Source organism: Homo sapiens, chromosome 15 (assembly GCF_000001405.40).
Source record: "Homo sapiens chromosome 15, GRCh38.p14 Primary Assembly".
Classification (NCBI taxonomy): domain Eukaryota; kingdom Metazoa; phylum Chordata; class Mammalia; order Primates; family Hominidae; genus Homo; species Homo sapiens.
The window spans coordinates 60,567,606-60,584,952 of NC_000015.10; the positions used below are offsets into that span (position 1 = coordinate 60,567,606).

Consider the following 17,347-nt stretch of genomic DNA (forward strand, 5'->3'; position numbering starts at 1 on the left):
TTACCATGTTGGCCAGGCTGGTCTGGAACTCTTGGCCTTAAGTGATCCGCCTGCCTTGGCCTCTCAAAGTGCAGGGATTACAGGTGTGAGCCACCAGGCCCAGCCGATACCCTCTTTTATTAGCAAGAATAATTCTACCATTGCATGAGTTCATACATACTGATTATCTCCGGCTTCTTTTGGTAATGCATTACTTTCCCTTTTTTTCTTTCTCATGCCAATAAAGTTTTCCATTTATTCCTTTACTTAAAATTGAAGTTATACGGTGTTAAATAAAATGTGTTTGGGTTGAAAATGAAAATGAAGATGTCATATGTAAGGGGCCTATGATGAACAGAAGGTAGAAAGCATGCTCTGTGGCAGGGTTTCTCAGCCTTGGCACTACTGACATTTTGTGTGAGATAATTCTTTGTTGTGGCTAGATGCTAATAGCACTCTCGAATTGTATTAATCAAAAAATCTCTCTAGACACTGATAAATGTTCCCTGGGGGTCAAAAGTGCCCCCAGTTGAGAACCACTGTTTTATGGAGAGAATGGTTTCCAGGAAAATAAGCTCTGGATAGGACAGTGGTGCTCTGCTGGAAAATGGATAGGACAATGCTTATGTCTCCTGCTGTTACCTCTGCCCCTGTGCACCTTTCTGTTCTGCCAGAGACAAGGGTTGCCCCACCCACAGAAAGGTGGAACAGCCAGGCATCCTGAGGGTAGTGATGCCAAAAGAAGCCCAAAGTCCTCTCCTACCTGGGAGAAACTTCAGCACCTCCATGAGGCAGCATGGCAGTGAAGGCTTTCTCTGCTCTCTACTGCTGATGTAGTTAAGGGAAACAAGAAAGAAATTTGCATGATCTATTCTCAAGACCCAAACCTCCCTGTTTGCATACCCCGGCTCAGTGTGGTGTCAGAATGATTCTAAGGAAGGAAGAAGCCCCTTTTCTCTGACAAGGCACTGGGGAAGTCTAGTCGAGATCTCACTGGGGAAAGCAGGACTTGCTGCTGCTATGGGAGGCAGGAAGCAGGCCAGGCACAGATCCTGGAACACATCAGACCAAAGTCCAGGACCTCCTCTCCTTTGGCTCGAAGGGCCTTGACCCAGAGCTCACTCACCTGAGAGCTTCTTTCACTTTTCTTGTAATATACATTTATCTTGAATCTAAGCACTGTTGTTGTATTATCAAACTGTCAGGATGGTTTTATATGTTTTCCTAGTACAAGTAAAAAAGATTAGTTGCTTTGCAAGGACGGAACAGGGAGTTGTTGATGACAAAGTGAAGTAGGTAAAAGTTGACTGAATAGTTTTGATATTTTTCATATGGATTTCAGTTTAGATGGTTTTGCGCTAAAAAAAAAAAAAAAAAAACTCAATATTATGGCATTTCCTGGAGTTTAAAATACGCTGACAATACAATTTACAAAAGGCCTTTTTGTGGTTAGTGTCTTTTCACACCTCTATCTTCTGGCATTTAGAATCTAATCATTTCTTTGTGGTAAGAGGTATTATATATAGAAAATTGGTTGAATTAAATTAATCAACGAAAGTGCCTTGTTCATTTTGCACTCCTTCTCAAAAGAAACCACTGAGGTGGGAGGACTGCTTGAACCTAAGAGTTCGAGACTAGCCTAGGCCACATGGAGAGACTCCATCTCTTTAAAAAATTAAAAAAAAAAAAAAAAAAAAAGCCATGTGTGGTGTCACATGCCTGTAGCCCCAGCTACTGGCGAGGCTGAGGCAGAAGGATCACTTGAGCCTAGGAGTTCCAGGTTACAGTGAGCTATGATGGCAACACTGCACTCCAGCCTGTGAGACCCTGTCTCTTTAAAAAGAAAAAGAAAAGAAAAAACCCAAAGGATTCATTTTTACAAAATTCAAGTCTTCTGAATGATGCTTAGTAAATATGTAGTAGATGCTCAATACAGGCTAGCTAATGACAACAGTGATTTTGGTCCTCACCATAAAGGGGCGGAAGGGTGGTGGTTAAAAGGGGGAAACAGGGCAACAGCAAAGAAAAATGACAATTAGTCTCCTCATTCAGTAAATAATGAGTAAATGAAATAGCAGTCACTCCCTTACAGTAACGACAGCTCAAAAGGGTGAATGGCTTGAACAGGGGAGGATGAACAATACAAGGGTAAAAGAGGGATGCAGACAAGGAAGGTTTTGAGTAAGTTAAACCTACTGGCGACAAAGAACGTACAGAGAGCAGGGCCAAGCAGCTGAAGCATTCTTTTATTCACAAATCAATGGAAGCTATTCAAGCCAATATGGTTTGATTTAGCAGATATTAACTGCAGCTAAAGTGATGCAAATACGTCAGCAAAAGGAGAGCAAGATAAACATGAGAAACCCACACTCGTTAAAAAGGAAGATGAGAACAGAGACTGACATTTAAAGATCAGATTAAAAGGATAGGAAAAACGAGAGAAAAGTAAGACAATGTGAGCGTGAGATCCTTCGACAGAAGGGAGGTGAAGGGGACAGATCCAACAATCCCCCTGCTTATTTGACTCCGAGACAAGAGAGAAGATAGCCGATCACGGGCCATCAGTAACACAAACACAGCCCGGGCACTTCATAAATATTTGTTGAGTAACTAAATGTGCATGAAAAATGCCTTCCTTTCTGGATGTGAAGATAAACTGAGATTTTATATGGTACCGTATTAACAAGTTTTTGTCTTCAGGAGAATGCTTAAAACCATGGACAGTATTATTTTTGTTTTGTGTGGGTGTATGTGTTTGTTTTTCAGACGAGGTCTTGCTCTGTCACCCAGGCTGGAGGGTAGTGGTATGATCACAGCTCACTGCAGACTTGACTTCCCCAGCCTCGGGTTATCCTCCTACCTCAGTCTCCTGAGTAGCTGGGACTATAATGCGTGCCACCATACCCAGTTTATTATTATTATTATCATCATTATTTTGTGTTTTTTGTAGAGACAGTGTTTCACCATGTTGCCCATGATGGTCTTGAACTCCTGGGCTTAGGAAATCTGCCCACCTTGGCCTCCCAAAGTGCTGCGATTACAGGTGTGAGCTACTGCGCCTGGCCCATGGACAGTTTTAATGATGATTTTAAAACAGCTATTCATTTGGATAAATTTCCATGAGCCTCATCTTGTACCCCTGACACAGGTGCCGTCATAGATTCAATTAGAGGGTCACAGTACAGTAGTTGGAGCACTAGACTGAGAGTCAAGAGACTAAGGTTCCAAAATTGGCTTTGCTGCTAAGTGTGTGATGCTGGGCAGCCACTTAACCTTTCCGAGTTTCTGTTTTCTCTGGGGTAACAGGAGTGGCTTGGACCAGGTAACTCTCAGGCCTCTCTCATGATCCTACATGTGCAATAAAGTACATTACCATATTAATCGGCTATTTTGCCCTGTCTGTATCCTGCCTTGTATGCCCAGTGTTGAATGGCAGATAAAAGTTCTTTTTTTTTCTCTCCTCATTTTGCCTGCTAGTGGCTTGTCAACAGTAGTTTCTATAATCAATTCTGGAAATGTTTACCCATCTGTATTATCTGAAGGCTGTTATTTACTGTTCTTGCTATTTTTTTTTTCCCGGGGAGTGTAGTAATTTCGATGTGCCTCCCACAGGAGACCACAGCAAACAACAAGGATACATTTTCACAATACTCAGCATGAAGGGACACTGTTTTGCTGATGTCCCTGACACAGTTTGAATTCATCGTAATGGTATATTTGAAGTGGTTTCCTGTGTTTTTGTGTGTGTGTGTGTGCCTGTAAAGACTAAATTAAAGCTCCAGTGCATATGAGTCCTACTGTGTGCTGTTACTCTTAACTAGAATTAGTTTTTTCTCTTTTCTGTGAAAACACAAATAATTGTGCAGGCCAATTAAACCTTTTGATAGAAATGAATAGCCTAGTTTTTAAAAGAGTTAAAGAGGCCTAAGACATCACTTACAGCACTTTTTGGTATCATAATATTACATCTGAGCTCTCTGTGGCAGTCTTAGATGAAGCATGAACTATGGAAAGATCATGAAGAGGCATGAGGGGTCCCTGATTTTAGTCCCTGCCACTAACTTATCCTGGCATGGTGTTTAATCTCCCAACCACCCGATTATAAAGTTAGCAGATTGCACTAGATGACTGCTAAGGTCTCTTGCAGGTCTAATAGTCTATAAAATGCCCAGCTAGCTATGGGACTGTTGTATTTAGCTATGTCACCTTCTACGATGAAAATTTTCTTTCCTGCTGGGAAGTTATCAAAATTCACTTTTTAGAATGTTAGGCCAACACATAAATTGACCTCACTGCATTTCTGTTACCTCATTAAAAAAGTAATAATCCATGAAAAAGTACAAGATGTCAGGGTGATTTATGTAAACAGAATAATACCTTACCTTAAACACACCAGAACGTACTGCAGAGCACATAGGAGTAGCTCATGAATCCCAGCACTCCCAGATGAGGACAGGGAGGCCTGATATCTAAATTCCATGCATGAGATTCCATAAGTCTATGGAAAAAATACTAGGTATACCCTCATCCATTGCTCACTAGCCATGCTTTGAATTTGGGAGCCTTACAATTACATAGCAAAGTTGAGTAGCTTTAAATGTAGAAAGCAGGTCAGTGAGTGGCTTTAATGTGGATTCATCTGTTGGAGAAGATGTGGTCCTGCATTTCACATGGCCAGCAAAGGGCAAAGAGGGGACAATCACTGAGAAATGTGTATGTTGGGGGAAAGAACCCCATAAGAAACCTACCAGAAAATGGGCATCATCCCTCATATTTGCAAAGCCTTTCACAACTTTACTAAACACTTGAATGCTCTGGGCATAGTGAACCATAAGAAACAGAGGGGTTATAACCCACAGGGTTTAATAAATGCATGGCTATTATAGACAACTGGATCATCCGGCTTTTACCATTGGTAGCAAGAAAAAAAAAAGAGGGGCTTTTTAGTCATACTCCCTCCTACCATTTAAAAACAAATCTATACATAATATAGATAACAAAACTATATTTAGGAAGAAGCGCTTATTGATGGGCCAACCACCTGAAATGTATTACCTCATTTAACAACCTCAAAATAATCCAATGTGGTTGATGCTGTTTTCATCCTGGGTAGGAGATGAGAGCTGAGTGAGTTAAGCCACTGGTCCTGTGGCAAGGAAGTCAGATCACCACTATTCTGGATCAATTTGTCAAGTTTCAAGTGTTTACCTTGAATACAAAAACAACCTGAGAGGCAGCTGGCAACGAATACTTCTTCACAGTTTGGGCATGAGTCCTGACTAACATGTACTAAATTACCAAGCATATCTTTAAATAAACGTGTACCACAGCAACTCTAATTCAAACAACAATCTTTAATGTAATAATTACACTGGCTGTGACACGAGCTCAGCCGAGAGTGTATTTTTATTTTAACAAGGCTGAGTAAGTACATGAGTGTGGGCTGAGCTTTTTGCTCGATAGTCAATACTTGAAAGCTGGCTCCAACCTTTAATTTAAGCATTCGCTTGTAGCACCAACAGGGCTACAGGGTTTCTAGTATCAAAGACACAATCCTCCGTCCTTTCATGGCCCTACTTCTGTAAGCAGCATGATTGAACCGCGGCACCACAGAAACTTGTTTTCCCTCCTTCTGGCAGCGTTAAGCCAAAACACTACTGCCCCATTCATCTTAGCGACATCATAATGAAGTCCCTGAATCAATTTATATCAAGCAAAGTGCAGAAATCCATTGAAGACTCGTGGCGGATGCCTTTCATACATCTCTCAACACCATACAAGAGGCAGAGCGGCCGCACAGAAACCCAAATCATAACACAGAAGAGACCTTTGCCGCATCCAAAAAGCTTTTTTATCTCTTGAAATAATTAAGGGAAAGGAAGATACTGAGAATATCTGATTGTTTCTCGTGTTTCTTCATGTGCCTTAAAAATATCTGGCAGCCTCCCTCCGTGGCCTCCCGGCACCTTCAGTAGAAAGAACAACTCCCGTAGAATGAGGGTGAGAGCCTGTCATAGTTCAGACCCCACCGGTCTCCTCTACATGCCTTGTCTCCTGCAGTCCCCGACTTGCCTTGCTCACTGTCTAGCTTTCAAGGATTTTCACAAACTACCATTTGTTGGCAATAACCTTCCTTTGCTTCAAAGCTCAGCTAAGCCTTCACTTCTTCCAAAAAGCTGTTCCTAACCCCTCAGTCTGATTTGTGCTCCTCCTCTGTGCTCCTATCGTCTCCTGCATTCCTCTGCTCTAGCATTTACACTATGTCATGATTTTATTTCCACCTTGGGCCCTCCCTGGCCTGTGAGCTCCTTGAAGGCAGGGACCACTTCTTTTCATCTTTCTGGTTCCAGCACTTTTTATAGTGCCTGGCACACATCAGATGCTCAATCCATTTCTATGTGTATTTTGTCTACTTCCATTCTACTGCAGTGTTCAGAAAAAGCCCCTAACCTCAATTTGCATGATGACCTAATCTCGGAATCTGGAACAATGTGAGTTTCTGAGACTCCGGTGGTGCTGGGGCTGTTGGGTCAGAACAGAGCAGGGTTAGCCCAGCCCTGCGAGTCTGGCAGACTCAGCCCCCAATTGGAGCTATGTGCTAGCCCTGTGATCCTAGACAGGTTGCTCTGCGTCTCTGAGTCTCCGCTTCCTCCTCTGTAAAAAGGAGGATGAAAGGCTAATGTAAGTATTAAATGTGGTAATCCATTTCATGGTGCTTGGCACACAGGAAGCGCTTTATAAATGATAGGCTTAGAACATATATTACTGGTTACAAATAGCAGGGCTTGGAAAATGCAGAATTAGAAGCCTCTTATGTTATATGATGAGAAATTTCATGCAAGTTCTTCTTCCATCAGCCCCCATCTGACCAGACCACATAACTCATATGCTTGGGCACTGGCAAAGGCCCCTGTTAAAATGCAATGTGTACCGGCTAAGGCTGGATGAACTCATTACCCTAACTTCAAACTTGAATACGTGATGTGTACCATTTACCACGTGTACAAGAGGATGAGAGGATGGGGATGTTAATAACAACACTTCTTCAGTGCCTGCCATATGCTAAGTGCTTGTCACATGTGAGACATTGCATTAAGTACCTTCCATGTGTTACTTCCTTCTTCCCAAAAATCCCTATGAGGTAGATGTTATTATCATCTTTATTTGATAGATGATAAAACTGAGGTTTAGTGAGGTTACATGACTTGCCCAAGATCCATCAGCTAATACGTGGCATTTCTGGGACTTAAGCCTTATATTTGGAAAAATTTCCAGATCCATGCTTGCTCTTATGCCTATGCCAACTTTCTGAGAGTCTTTCTTATTTCTGTATCTTGTGTCACCCGGAAGAGCCAGGAGAGAACGGGACAGAAGATCAAACTACTGAGTCAGGGGCAGGAGAAGAAGAGGAGGTCTGGAGATTGTACTACTCGATTTTTTATGTGGTGATTAGGCAACTCTGCCTTCAGCTAAACCAGAAGGCCACCGAGAGCCCTAAGAGAGGAGATGATAAAGTTTGAAAACATAGCTCCGTTTGTCTAATGCCAGCCTTAACCTAGGGCCAGAACCTTCAGCAAAGAGCTAGAATGTACACAGACAGTATTAAGTCTTAGAAGACCTTCCTATTCCTATAGCAACGTCACCACATCGTCTGATTCACTTTTTCCTTCCCATTTGACTAGCAGGTCATTCAAAAGCCAATGGCTATAAAGCAAGAAAACAATCCTGTAAAGGCTGATACTTGGCCTTCATGATACGGAGTTACAGCTTTGTACGTGTACTTGAAGTATAAATGCCTTCAGTTTCCCTACTGTAAGGTCATAGGTCCAGTTTACCTCTGTGAAGTGGTGGTACAAAGGAACTGAGAATAAACAAAATGTTTAGTAAATGACAGAGTGGAAAATTCCAAAGTCGAGTCTAGAGAATATTTTCAGTACTGAGAGTATATGATTTACAAAAAAAAAATTACTGGAATCCTCCTGCCCTTTGGTAAGCTTTTTATTGAAGTGCAACATGCAAAGAGAAACAGACACAAATGATAAATGTAAGCTTTATGAATTTTCACAGGCAATACTCCCAGATCAAGAAAAAAAAATGTCCCTTTGGTTTTTTAAAATAGTTTTCCATGCCTGGGTCAAAATCACCGAATAATGCAAAACTTAGCTTATAAAATTTATTGTTTAAAGTTCAGTTAGCCAGAAAATGCTAAAAGTTTAATAAAATACAATGCCTAAACATGAGCCATTTTATTTTACTTCAAAGAGAATAATTATCTTACACTTCTGTTTCCCAAATTGGAAAGTTAGAAGTTTTGTTTTCTTTTTAACCACGAATGGGCATGTAGTTATTTCTCTCACCCTTTAAACGGCCAGGGTTTCCTCAGCTGCACCTTCCCAACACCCTCTCCAAGAACAGAGCGTGGCTTGCCTTGCTTTCCTTCCTCTTCACTCCCATCCTTCCCCCACATCACCACTGTGAGTTGTTCTGAAATGGGGCCATCTCATTCTCCTCAGCCCTCCTAATTTTGGGTAGATCCATAGAAGACAGGAGGTGCTTTTTCTCATGGGCAGCGTGGCTGTGGGCCATTGCACAACCTCTGTTTATACAGTGAGTATGCTTCAGCCTATCCCTTTAACTGGCTAATAAAACTATGCTGGGAGCAACGTATCCCAGTGTTCTGAGACTGATTTGGCTCTGGGGGCACCAACTTCTCTCTTAGTTATAACAGTCAGAAGCAAGACCCTGGAAATGCAGAATGTGCCAAAACACATTTGCTCCCACTCAATGGACAGCCTTTTGATAGGAAACCAAATGGAATGCAAGACCTGAATGCCCCCTATTTGATAATAACAAAGAGGCAGATGGCCCAGCCACAAAGGGCAATGTGAATGTCTATATGTTAGATGCCAACAAAGTGATTATAAAATTAAGGACAAGTATTTGGGCATTGCTTTCTAACTGCATGTTATTTTTCACAAGAAATTTCAGGGAAGGTTGGGCTTTCACATATTTAATTAGTGTAATGGAACTGATTCTGCCAAGTGTATCTGTTAGTCGAGGGCTTAGCCTCCTTGTCACACTCAGGTGCTGACAGCTATCTGGGCAGAACTCTTCCCCCTTGGAGAAGGTCTGAGGGGGAGTGAATGGTGTATGTGTTAAGGTGCCCATCACTTGCATGGTCGCAGGCCTGCAAGGGCTTTCCATCTCTACACACAGTGATAAAATTCTCCAAGGTGCCTACATTCATGACAAAAGTTTCACATCTTTCAGGAGCTGGGATAGCTCTGGAAGTGGTACTAATTGTATAAAAGCTTTTTCCTCCACACCAGCCCAAAACAAAAAGAAAAACAGCCATCATTTACTAGTACTATTTTTGCTAATATAGGTTGCAGATGATTAAAGATAAACTGTAAAGCCTCTGTAAACCACAAATTTTATGCCCAGGTCTTTGCTATATTAATAAAAAAAACAAAAACAAAAATCTCTGAAAATAGAATATCACCAAAGATTCTGGTCTTCCACTGTTATGAAAGATGAAGACATTATAAAGAAAACGAGGATTACAAAATTTGCTCTTGAATTCATGTTTGAAAGTGCTTTCTTTAATATAATTTATAGCTCATCTGATAAATCTGTCTGAATTTAAAGCCCCTTCTATTGTTACCTTGTGCTTTGTCATACAATTTTCAGACTATGTCTCCTACAGTAAATTGTAGAGCAAGAGCTCTCAAACTTTTTGGTCTCTGTATACTTTTATGCTTCTAAAAACTGCAAAGAGGCCTGGTGTGGTGGCTCACGCCTGTAATCCCAGTACTTTGGGAGTCTGAGACAGGCGGATCACCTGAGGTCAGGAGTTCGAGACCAGCCTGGCCAACATGGTAAAACCCTGTCTCTACTAAAAATACAAAAATTAGCCGGGTGTGGTGGTGCGTGTCTGTAATGTCAGCTACTCGGGAGGCTGAGGCAGGAGAATCACTTGAACCTGGGAGGTGGAGGTTGCAGCAAGCCGAGATCGCGCCACTGTACTCCAGCCTGGGTGACAGAGTGAGACTCTGTTTCCAAAAAAAAAAAAAAAAAAGCTGCAAACAGCTTTTGTTTTTGTAGGTTATACATCAGTCATTGCCATATTAGAAGTTAAAACTGGGAACATTTACACAATTTACTTATAATTCAACTTAAAATAATAGTAATAAACACATTGCATATTAACATATAAAAATAAGTATATTTTATAAGACAAAAAGTTAGCATGAAGAATACCATTATTTTACATTTTTGTGAATCTTTTTATATCTGGCTATTAAAAGAAGACAAGTAGATTCTCATAGCTGCTTCTGCATTCAATCTGTTGTGTTATGCTCTTATGGTTGATGTATGTGAAGAAAATCTGGCCTCACAAAGATATGTAGCTAGAAAAAGGAGAGGTATTATAATAGCCTTTTCAGATAATTTTGGATATTCTTCTGTGGTACTACACTAAAACTCAACAAGTGGTAGTTTCTTAAAGATTAGTTAGAATATGGAACCTGAAGCCATATCACTGACTTTTTGTACTTTGTTAAATTAAAATACACCGGTATATTTTGCACTTTGAGTGGATCATTTACCTACATATATTTTTATAATATCATCCATGGGTCACTTGGAAACTACTGGTTCACTGGGTTTTGTATATCTTCCAGATTTTGACACATTTCATTATTAGATGTGGTTATATCAAGGAATTATGTTGATTAATATCACTACCCATACCATCAGAAAAGTTTTTAAGTATTGGGAAGCTGTCAGATTCCTGGGGTTGGATACAAGTTTTCCAAAATTCAGATTTTTGCCTGAATGTATGGGCAGTAAATACTGTGAACTGTTTTTCAGGAGATAACAGACTCAAAGTTCATTTTTGAGAAAATATATGAAACATATCCACATCTGAATAATTATAGTCTGTTATTCTATTAAGTGGCATTCCATTCAAAAAACAGCTAGTTCAGCTCTTAACTCAAACAATGACACAAGTACTTTTCCCTGGAGACAAACATGGTACTTAGTAGTATAAAGCAGAAGTGCTTTATGCAAACTTCCAATTTTGTCATAAAGAACATTAAAAAGGTATGGACTTGAGGGTCAAAATTTAATAAAGTTAATAAATTTTTCTGCTTCATCAAGCACATTCTTAAATGAAACTTTTTTTTTTTTTTTTGAGACAGAGTCTCGCTCTGTTGCCCAGGCTGGAGTTAAGTGGCACAATCTCGGCTCACTGCAAGCTCCACCTCCCAGGTTCAAGCCATTCTCCTGCCTCAGCCTCCTGAGTAGCTGGGACTACAGGCGCCCGCCACCATGCCCAGCTAATTTTTTGTATTTTCAGTAGGGATGGGGTTTCACCATGTTAGCCAAGATGGTCTCGATCTCCTGATCTTGTGATCGATCCGCCTGCCTCGGCCTCTCAAAGTGCTGGGATTACAGGTGTGAGCCACCGCGCCCGGTTTTTTTTTTTTTTTTTTTTTTAACAGCAACTGCACAGTAATGAAGAATACCATGACTGCTGGTACAGCTTGGCATTACCGTCCTGCTTCCTGCTAAGGTGCCAGCAGTTTTACCCACCAATGCTTTGCACCATTAATACAAATGGTCACCGTAGTAAAAAGGGGAAACAATGCCTCAGTATTGTTATGGAACTGGTTTTTATCTCTTGGAGCTTCTGAGAGGGCCTTGGGGCCCCGCAGGGGGTCCCTGGATCACACATTGAAGACCACTACTGTAGAGGATAGTATCTATAAATCCAAACGCTCTCTAATCTGCTAAATGCTTATGTCCTTGTGGGGTTCACGTAAAGAAGATTTAAAAGGTTTATTTCTGTCTCCACTCTCCTGCCCTTCCTGCTTAAAAAAAAAAATTCCATTGTGGTAGTTCAACATAAACTGTGTGTATAGAACAAAGAAATTACAGTACTGTTGATTTCATCAGCATTTTCTCCTAACAAAGAAAACTAGCTATTCTAACATGCTATTGAGAAAACTATTGAACTACCATGAGTTATAGGAAATATGACATGCTCAGTGCCCCCTCCATCTCACCTAAGTCCCAACTCTTTCCCAAACCTTTCACTTTGGGGGTATTTTGGATGAGCTCTTAGTAGTGTCCTCAGAAATAATTGGTTGTCCTAATTCAGCCCCATGCAAATTAATGCTCCCCTAAAGAGGCCTTATTATAATTTTCAACCCTTGATGTCTACATAATCCCCTATAGTTCTTTAACTTCTTGCTTTCTAACTTCTGTTTACCGATGCACTACTTTTGTCAGCTCAGTATAGCATCAATTAGTAACACAGTTGTGTTTATTAGGTCTCCCTAGAGCCTTGAGAAAGCTGCTTTGTATTTATTAATGACTACACAGAGCACTACTATTTTTCAATAGCACTTAAAAATGAGTAAATTACTGAAGATGAACTATAAAAGAACTTTAAATTTCAAAGGCAAGCAAAAAAAAAAGCACATTATTTAAAACCACTCATAATACTTGCATGGTTAATTTTATTTTCAATGTAATATCAAGAGAGAGGGAAGAAAGTCAAACCCAGACTCTTCTTCCTGTTCTACTTTTGGCATTTTGGAGTACACATGATTTGAGTTAGAGAACTGAAGCATAGATCTGGTGATTAATTAAGAGCTGGTTTAACAGGTCTAAATTTCATTATGTCACACACCTGTTAAGTAATGCACACCTGATTCAGCAGACATCCACCCACAAGGTTAATCTCAAAAAATTAAGCAATCAACAGGAAAGAAAAAAGAGGCATACTGCACTAACTTAGGTCCAGTTTTATGTTCTCAAGCATAATTCCAATCCACCAATTTGAAATGTATCCACTTTGTTTTCTCTTATTTTGTGAATAATTCCCTGTACTACATTAGGTGAAGTTAGAGTTGCCCACACTGGTATAGAATTCACTACTCAAGGAAACCAGAGAGACCAATCGCTCCTGTGATGAATCTTTCCGAACCAAACTTAAAGTGATGCCAGCAATTATGGCGTTCATTTGCCCTGCTTTTATATTCCTGGTCATTTATGAAATGAAGACGCTGATCTGCAAAAATCACTATGCATTCATGAAAGGAGCTCTGGGAGCTCCCCCTGAGGATCTGGCTATGAGGCAGAAACATACCTCAGTGCACTTCCTTTGTCTTGTGCTCCCTCTTTGATGTGCAAGTCACTGGTGGAGTAAGCTGTGATCGCTTTGATGTTGAACTTCTAGACTTTATTGTTACTAGCATGCCTACAAAGAGAGCTGTCAGTCATTTCTTACATCTGAACAACCATGTTTCTTTACAGCGCCTCTTTTACAAGCATCAATCCTTAAATACATGTTTTCACATTCCTGCTGATTACCACACTATCTTTGTTGGGGGAGGGCTGTGCTCAAATATAACTACAGCACCCACATTTTCTGTAAACACCCTGAGGCATCTTCAGATGGCTGGTAACCAACCTTCTTCAACAAGAGAAGCCCCAGTGCAAAACATATTTCTAGCAAACGAAAACATTCTGAAAACACTCGATCCATCTTAACAGTCGAAATGAGCAGTTTAGCCAATATTTCCCCTAAGCAGCCACTGAAATTGCATAGAAACTTCCAGGCCACTTCAAAAGGGATTCTGAACGTAACAGCAGCAGGGGGCTTAGAAAGACTGCCAAAACCCTGAGACATCTTAACTCATCTTAAACAACTTTGTTTCTCTGCAATAGTGGAAACAAAATGCTTCTGTTTTACGAGATTTTGCTTGTGGTAGAAACATTGCTTTTGAAATGGATTTCTATCAAACCAATTGTTTTGTTAAACAATATCATTTTCAAAAGTTGCTTGATGTTACGGATGCAACTTAAGAGGAGGAGGATTTTTCATAATCTTGTGTCTAGGGCAAACGTGGCTGTGAATGCAATGGAGGTACAATTTCTTAGATATATACAAAATAGGCGGTATGCAAATCTTTAAAGATCTCTGTTGAAAAAGATATGGCTCTAATTTCATTTACCAGCTCCCATCAGATTTTCTTTTCAAACTCCTTTATCGCTTCTGAAACTGCTGAATATTATCAAACCCCACTGGGAAATTCCACACAAGGAAATAAACTTAAGGTGCTTACATCACACCATGCTGGTTTATAATGAACTGCTGTCTTTTTGAATAAATGTTTCAATGAAATCCAAGTTTTTAAAGATGCCAGGTCTCAAATTAGGAAGTTAAATGATATTTTTTCATGCTGGAGCTTAGTTCTGTTTTTCTTTTTTATAAAATAAGATGGCATCACAAGAGATACATTGTTTCTGCTTGCTAATAAACTGCAGACGATACATTGGGAGAGACTCAATTTCTTTGGGTTCCTGGCTTGGAATATTTGGTAAAGAATAAAATTACTGTGGTACGCAATGGTTAAGGCTACTCCATGGTTTCCATTTTTAAACAACTGCCCCCGCCCCTTGGTTTTAAATCAACCATCAAAAACGGAAAAAGCTTTAGGCTACAATTTGATAAATAAGGTATGACTGTAATTTACTAGAACTAAATCTGGGCATATTTATTATTAATATTAATGAAAACTTGCTTGTTCTTAAATTTATTTAAATAGCATAAAGTAATTACCTCTTTCTGTCTTAAATTTTCACTTCCAAAAGGAACTGATTAGCTGATAGAAGGACCTATAGCAATTAAGGGTAGAGACAGGGAATAAGGAAAGTAGGAGGCATTTGTTTGCCTCTCCCAAGTCTCAAACAAGAAACTAGAGCATGTTTCTGTTTTAATAGAAACACTTTCATAGAACGGTAGAGATGGAAAAGATCTTGGTGACTACCAAGTCCAACCCTTTAACTTTAAAAACAGGGAAAGTGAACAACTGAGGTTTAACCTGACAATTATTGCATCGCAGATCTGGGACAATAACCCATATCTTCATCTTCCCCCACCCTATGTAGGGGGGTTTCCACTACTCAACATTGTTTTGCTACACTGCGGACAGGGTGACTCATGTACAAAGTGAGGGTGTTGGGCTTCAGAGGTTTCTCAACCAGAATTATCTGAGTTATCTTTAAAAATGTAGCAATACTTGAGCTCTACACCTTGGGACCAGTAAAATCAGAAATCTGTAAGAGCACAGCCTGGGCTTATATATCTTTTAAAAACTCTTTAGATAGATTAATACGCAGACCAGGTTGGGAGCAGATGACCTGTGAGGTCTATTGCAAAATGTTCACCATCAGTTGGGAAAATTTTTTGATTCAGTTCCCTGATGTTGACCCATGAGGCCATAAGCATTTCTAAACCATTATACTGTTTTTACATTGGCCTAGCTGTTGTTATTATCTGCATTTATCTAGTTCATTGATATGTTTACTTAAGTATTACCTACCTCTCCCACCAGAATGTACACTCACAGAGACCAGAGACTGACATGATCACTGCTGTCCCCTCGGCCGCCAGCATCACATCTGCCACAATAATGAGATAGATACTACACCAGCATTTTCAAAAGAAAAAGGGGGCTGGTGTCGCAGTGTGGAAGCAGGCAGGTAGTCCTTCTCCACACCAGCCAGAGGAAGTCTACTTTCATCTATCCCACCAGACTAGAATCTAAGCTGCACGAAGGCAGCATTTGGTCTCCCCTGTTTGGATGTCACCTCCAGAGCCTGGACACTGGCAGATACACACCAGATGCTCAGTGCCTGAGAAAGGCCATGTGCTAAACAGGAAGCACTGATCAGCTTCCAGGGCACTGAAACCTTTACTTTGTCGCTGAATAAAGCAACCTTGAAAAGACATCACTGTTTCCACTGAGTTGGCCTTGACTTCTGCAGTAAGACTCTTAGCCTGCTCCTGCTAAGTGGTCACAGTATTGGCAAGACCCAGCCCAGGCACACAGTGAAGGCTAAAATACATTGTGTCTATGTCACATGCAGAGGCTGGGGCTTCTGGACAAGGCTTTATGACGAAAAGGAGTACAGTATTTGAAAAGTCTCACAGCAGCCTCCAGCACCAAAACAGCCTCAGGGTTCTCTCCTGTTTGGGCCACTTGGGGTAAGAGATTTGAGGGAACAGTCTGCCCACTTGCTTCTGCATGCTGGTTGATAGCAAGGCCAAAGTTAACAGAAAAATATTTCAAGTGTGTTAATAACAATGCCAGAAATTGCTCACATCTGGCACCTCTTCCATGCTGAAGGGAGTGAACTAAAGAGAAGTGAATGGTTACCTTAATATAATTTACCTTTCTGAGATTCCCTTTCCTCGTGAGTAAGAGGAAAGGGTTAGCCCCGAGCAGTGGTTCCCAAACCTGTCTTATCCTCACAAGAGGATCTTTTACAAAAGAAGATTCCTTGGCCTCCCCTCCTAGGCTTTTGGAAGCAGGATCTGTGCAGGTGTTGCTGGAGAAAGGCATTTATTTTTTAAATGCTTCCCAGATGACTGTGAAGATCAATGACATTTGGGAACCACTAGAGGACTGGAGGACTCTGCGGTCCACCTGGCTCTGACAGGCTAGAACAGAGAGCTTCACAAAGTGAGGCCTAAGGACCAGTTGCATCAGAAACATCTGAGATGCTGTGTAAATACATGCCTTCGTGGGCCTCACCCCAGACTGACAGAATCAAACTCTGTGTGAGACCCAGGGATCCGCCTTCTTAAGACTCTCTGGAGTATGGGTTCTACTCTACAGTTTCAGAACCACTGTTTCAGGCAGGATTTTAGAGCTAACTTATGGCTTATGTGGAAGCAAATCATGTTCATCCATAAGTATAGGGTTTGACTTTATCCAGTTACATTAACATTTCATTGCATTGTTTGGCATGTCACAGAAATCTCCTTTGTTTTAAATGGCATGTAGCTTATAGCAAATGCAAATGTGTAAGTCCAACAGCCATAAAGCAGCCTTCTCTGACTAAGTGTGGCTGCCAACTTCTCAGTGCATTTTTTAAATGCTGATTCATGGCTTAAGACACTTGATTGGGAGGAAGGTGTCTCAGCTCCTATTATAAAAGCACAAAGGTGGTACCTGAATTACCTAGCACACAATAGGCACTTAAGTATTTGCTGAAACAAATTTATTTACTTATTTTCACCCACTGTTCTACAGAAGATTTGAAGTGAGATGAACAAATAAAAAGAAGGAGAAAAAAAACCTTTCCAACAACCGAAAAATGAAAATAACATTCTGTGAAAAAGAGAATACTTCTCATGTGGTGAAAAAAAATCACACTTCTGGGTGGCGCAGTTTGTAAAACGGTTGGCTTCAATAACTGATCTGAAACTTAACCACAAGTCTTCACTTCTGAACCACTGCCTTATTTCTATGATAGAAAGGTTTAAACAGCAGTTTTTCCTTGCTTT

At 40.5% G+C, this 17,347-nt stretch overlaps 1 protein-coding gene and 1 long non-coding RNA gene across 12 annotated transcripts in view, besides 3 other annotated features; one reads left to right on the forward strand and one right to left on the reverse strand.

Moving 5' to 3' along the window:
- The window catches only part of RORA-AS1 (RORA antisense RNA 1), a 151,462-nt gene that overhangs the window by 88,428 nt on the left and 45,687 nt on the right, over positions 1-17,347 (forward strand). The window lies entirely within an intron of this gene.
- Positions 1-17,347, reverse strand: part of RORA (RAR related orphan receptor A) — a 741,019-nt gene that overhangs the window by 79,322 nt on the left and 644,350 nt on the right. The gene's annotated exons all lie outside the window — the stretch shown is intronic.
- Positions 665-959: a silencer, noted in NCBI's record as "tiled region #281; HepG2 Repressive non-DNase unmatched - State 14:Gen5'". NCBI's record gives its function as "represses a minimal TATA promoter and a strong SV40 promoter by Sharpr-MPRA in HepG2 cells {active_cell/tissue: HepG2}" and the evidence as "EXISTENCE:reporter gene assay evidence [ECO:0000049][PMID:27701403]".
- Positions 8,553-9,102: an enhancer, noted in NCBI's record as "OCT4-NANOG hESC enhancer chr15:60868357-60868906 (GRCh37/hg19 assembly coordinates)". NCBI's record gives its function as "activates a minimal SCP1, AML or CMV promoter by ChIP-STARR-seq in primed H9 embryonic stem cells {active_cell/tissue: H9 hESC(primed)}" and the evidence as "EXISTENCE:reporter gene assay evidence [ECO:0000049][PMID:30033119]".
- Positions 12,949-13,775: an enhancer, noted in NCBI's record as "NANOG hESC enhancer chr15:60872753-60873579 (GRCh37/hg19 assembly coordinates)". NCBI's record gives its function as "activates a minimal SCP1, AML or CMV promoter by ChIP-STARR-seq in naive H9 embryonic stem cells {active_cell/tissue: H9 hESC(naive)}" and the evidence as "EXISTENCE:reporter gene assay evidence [ECO:0000049][PMID:30033119]".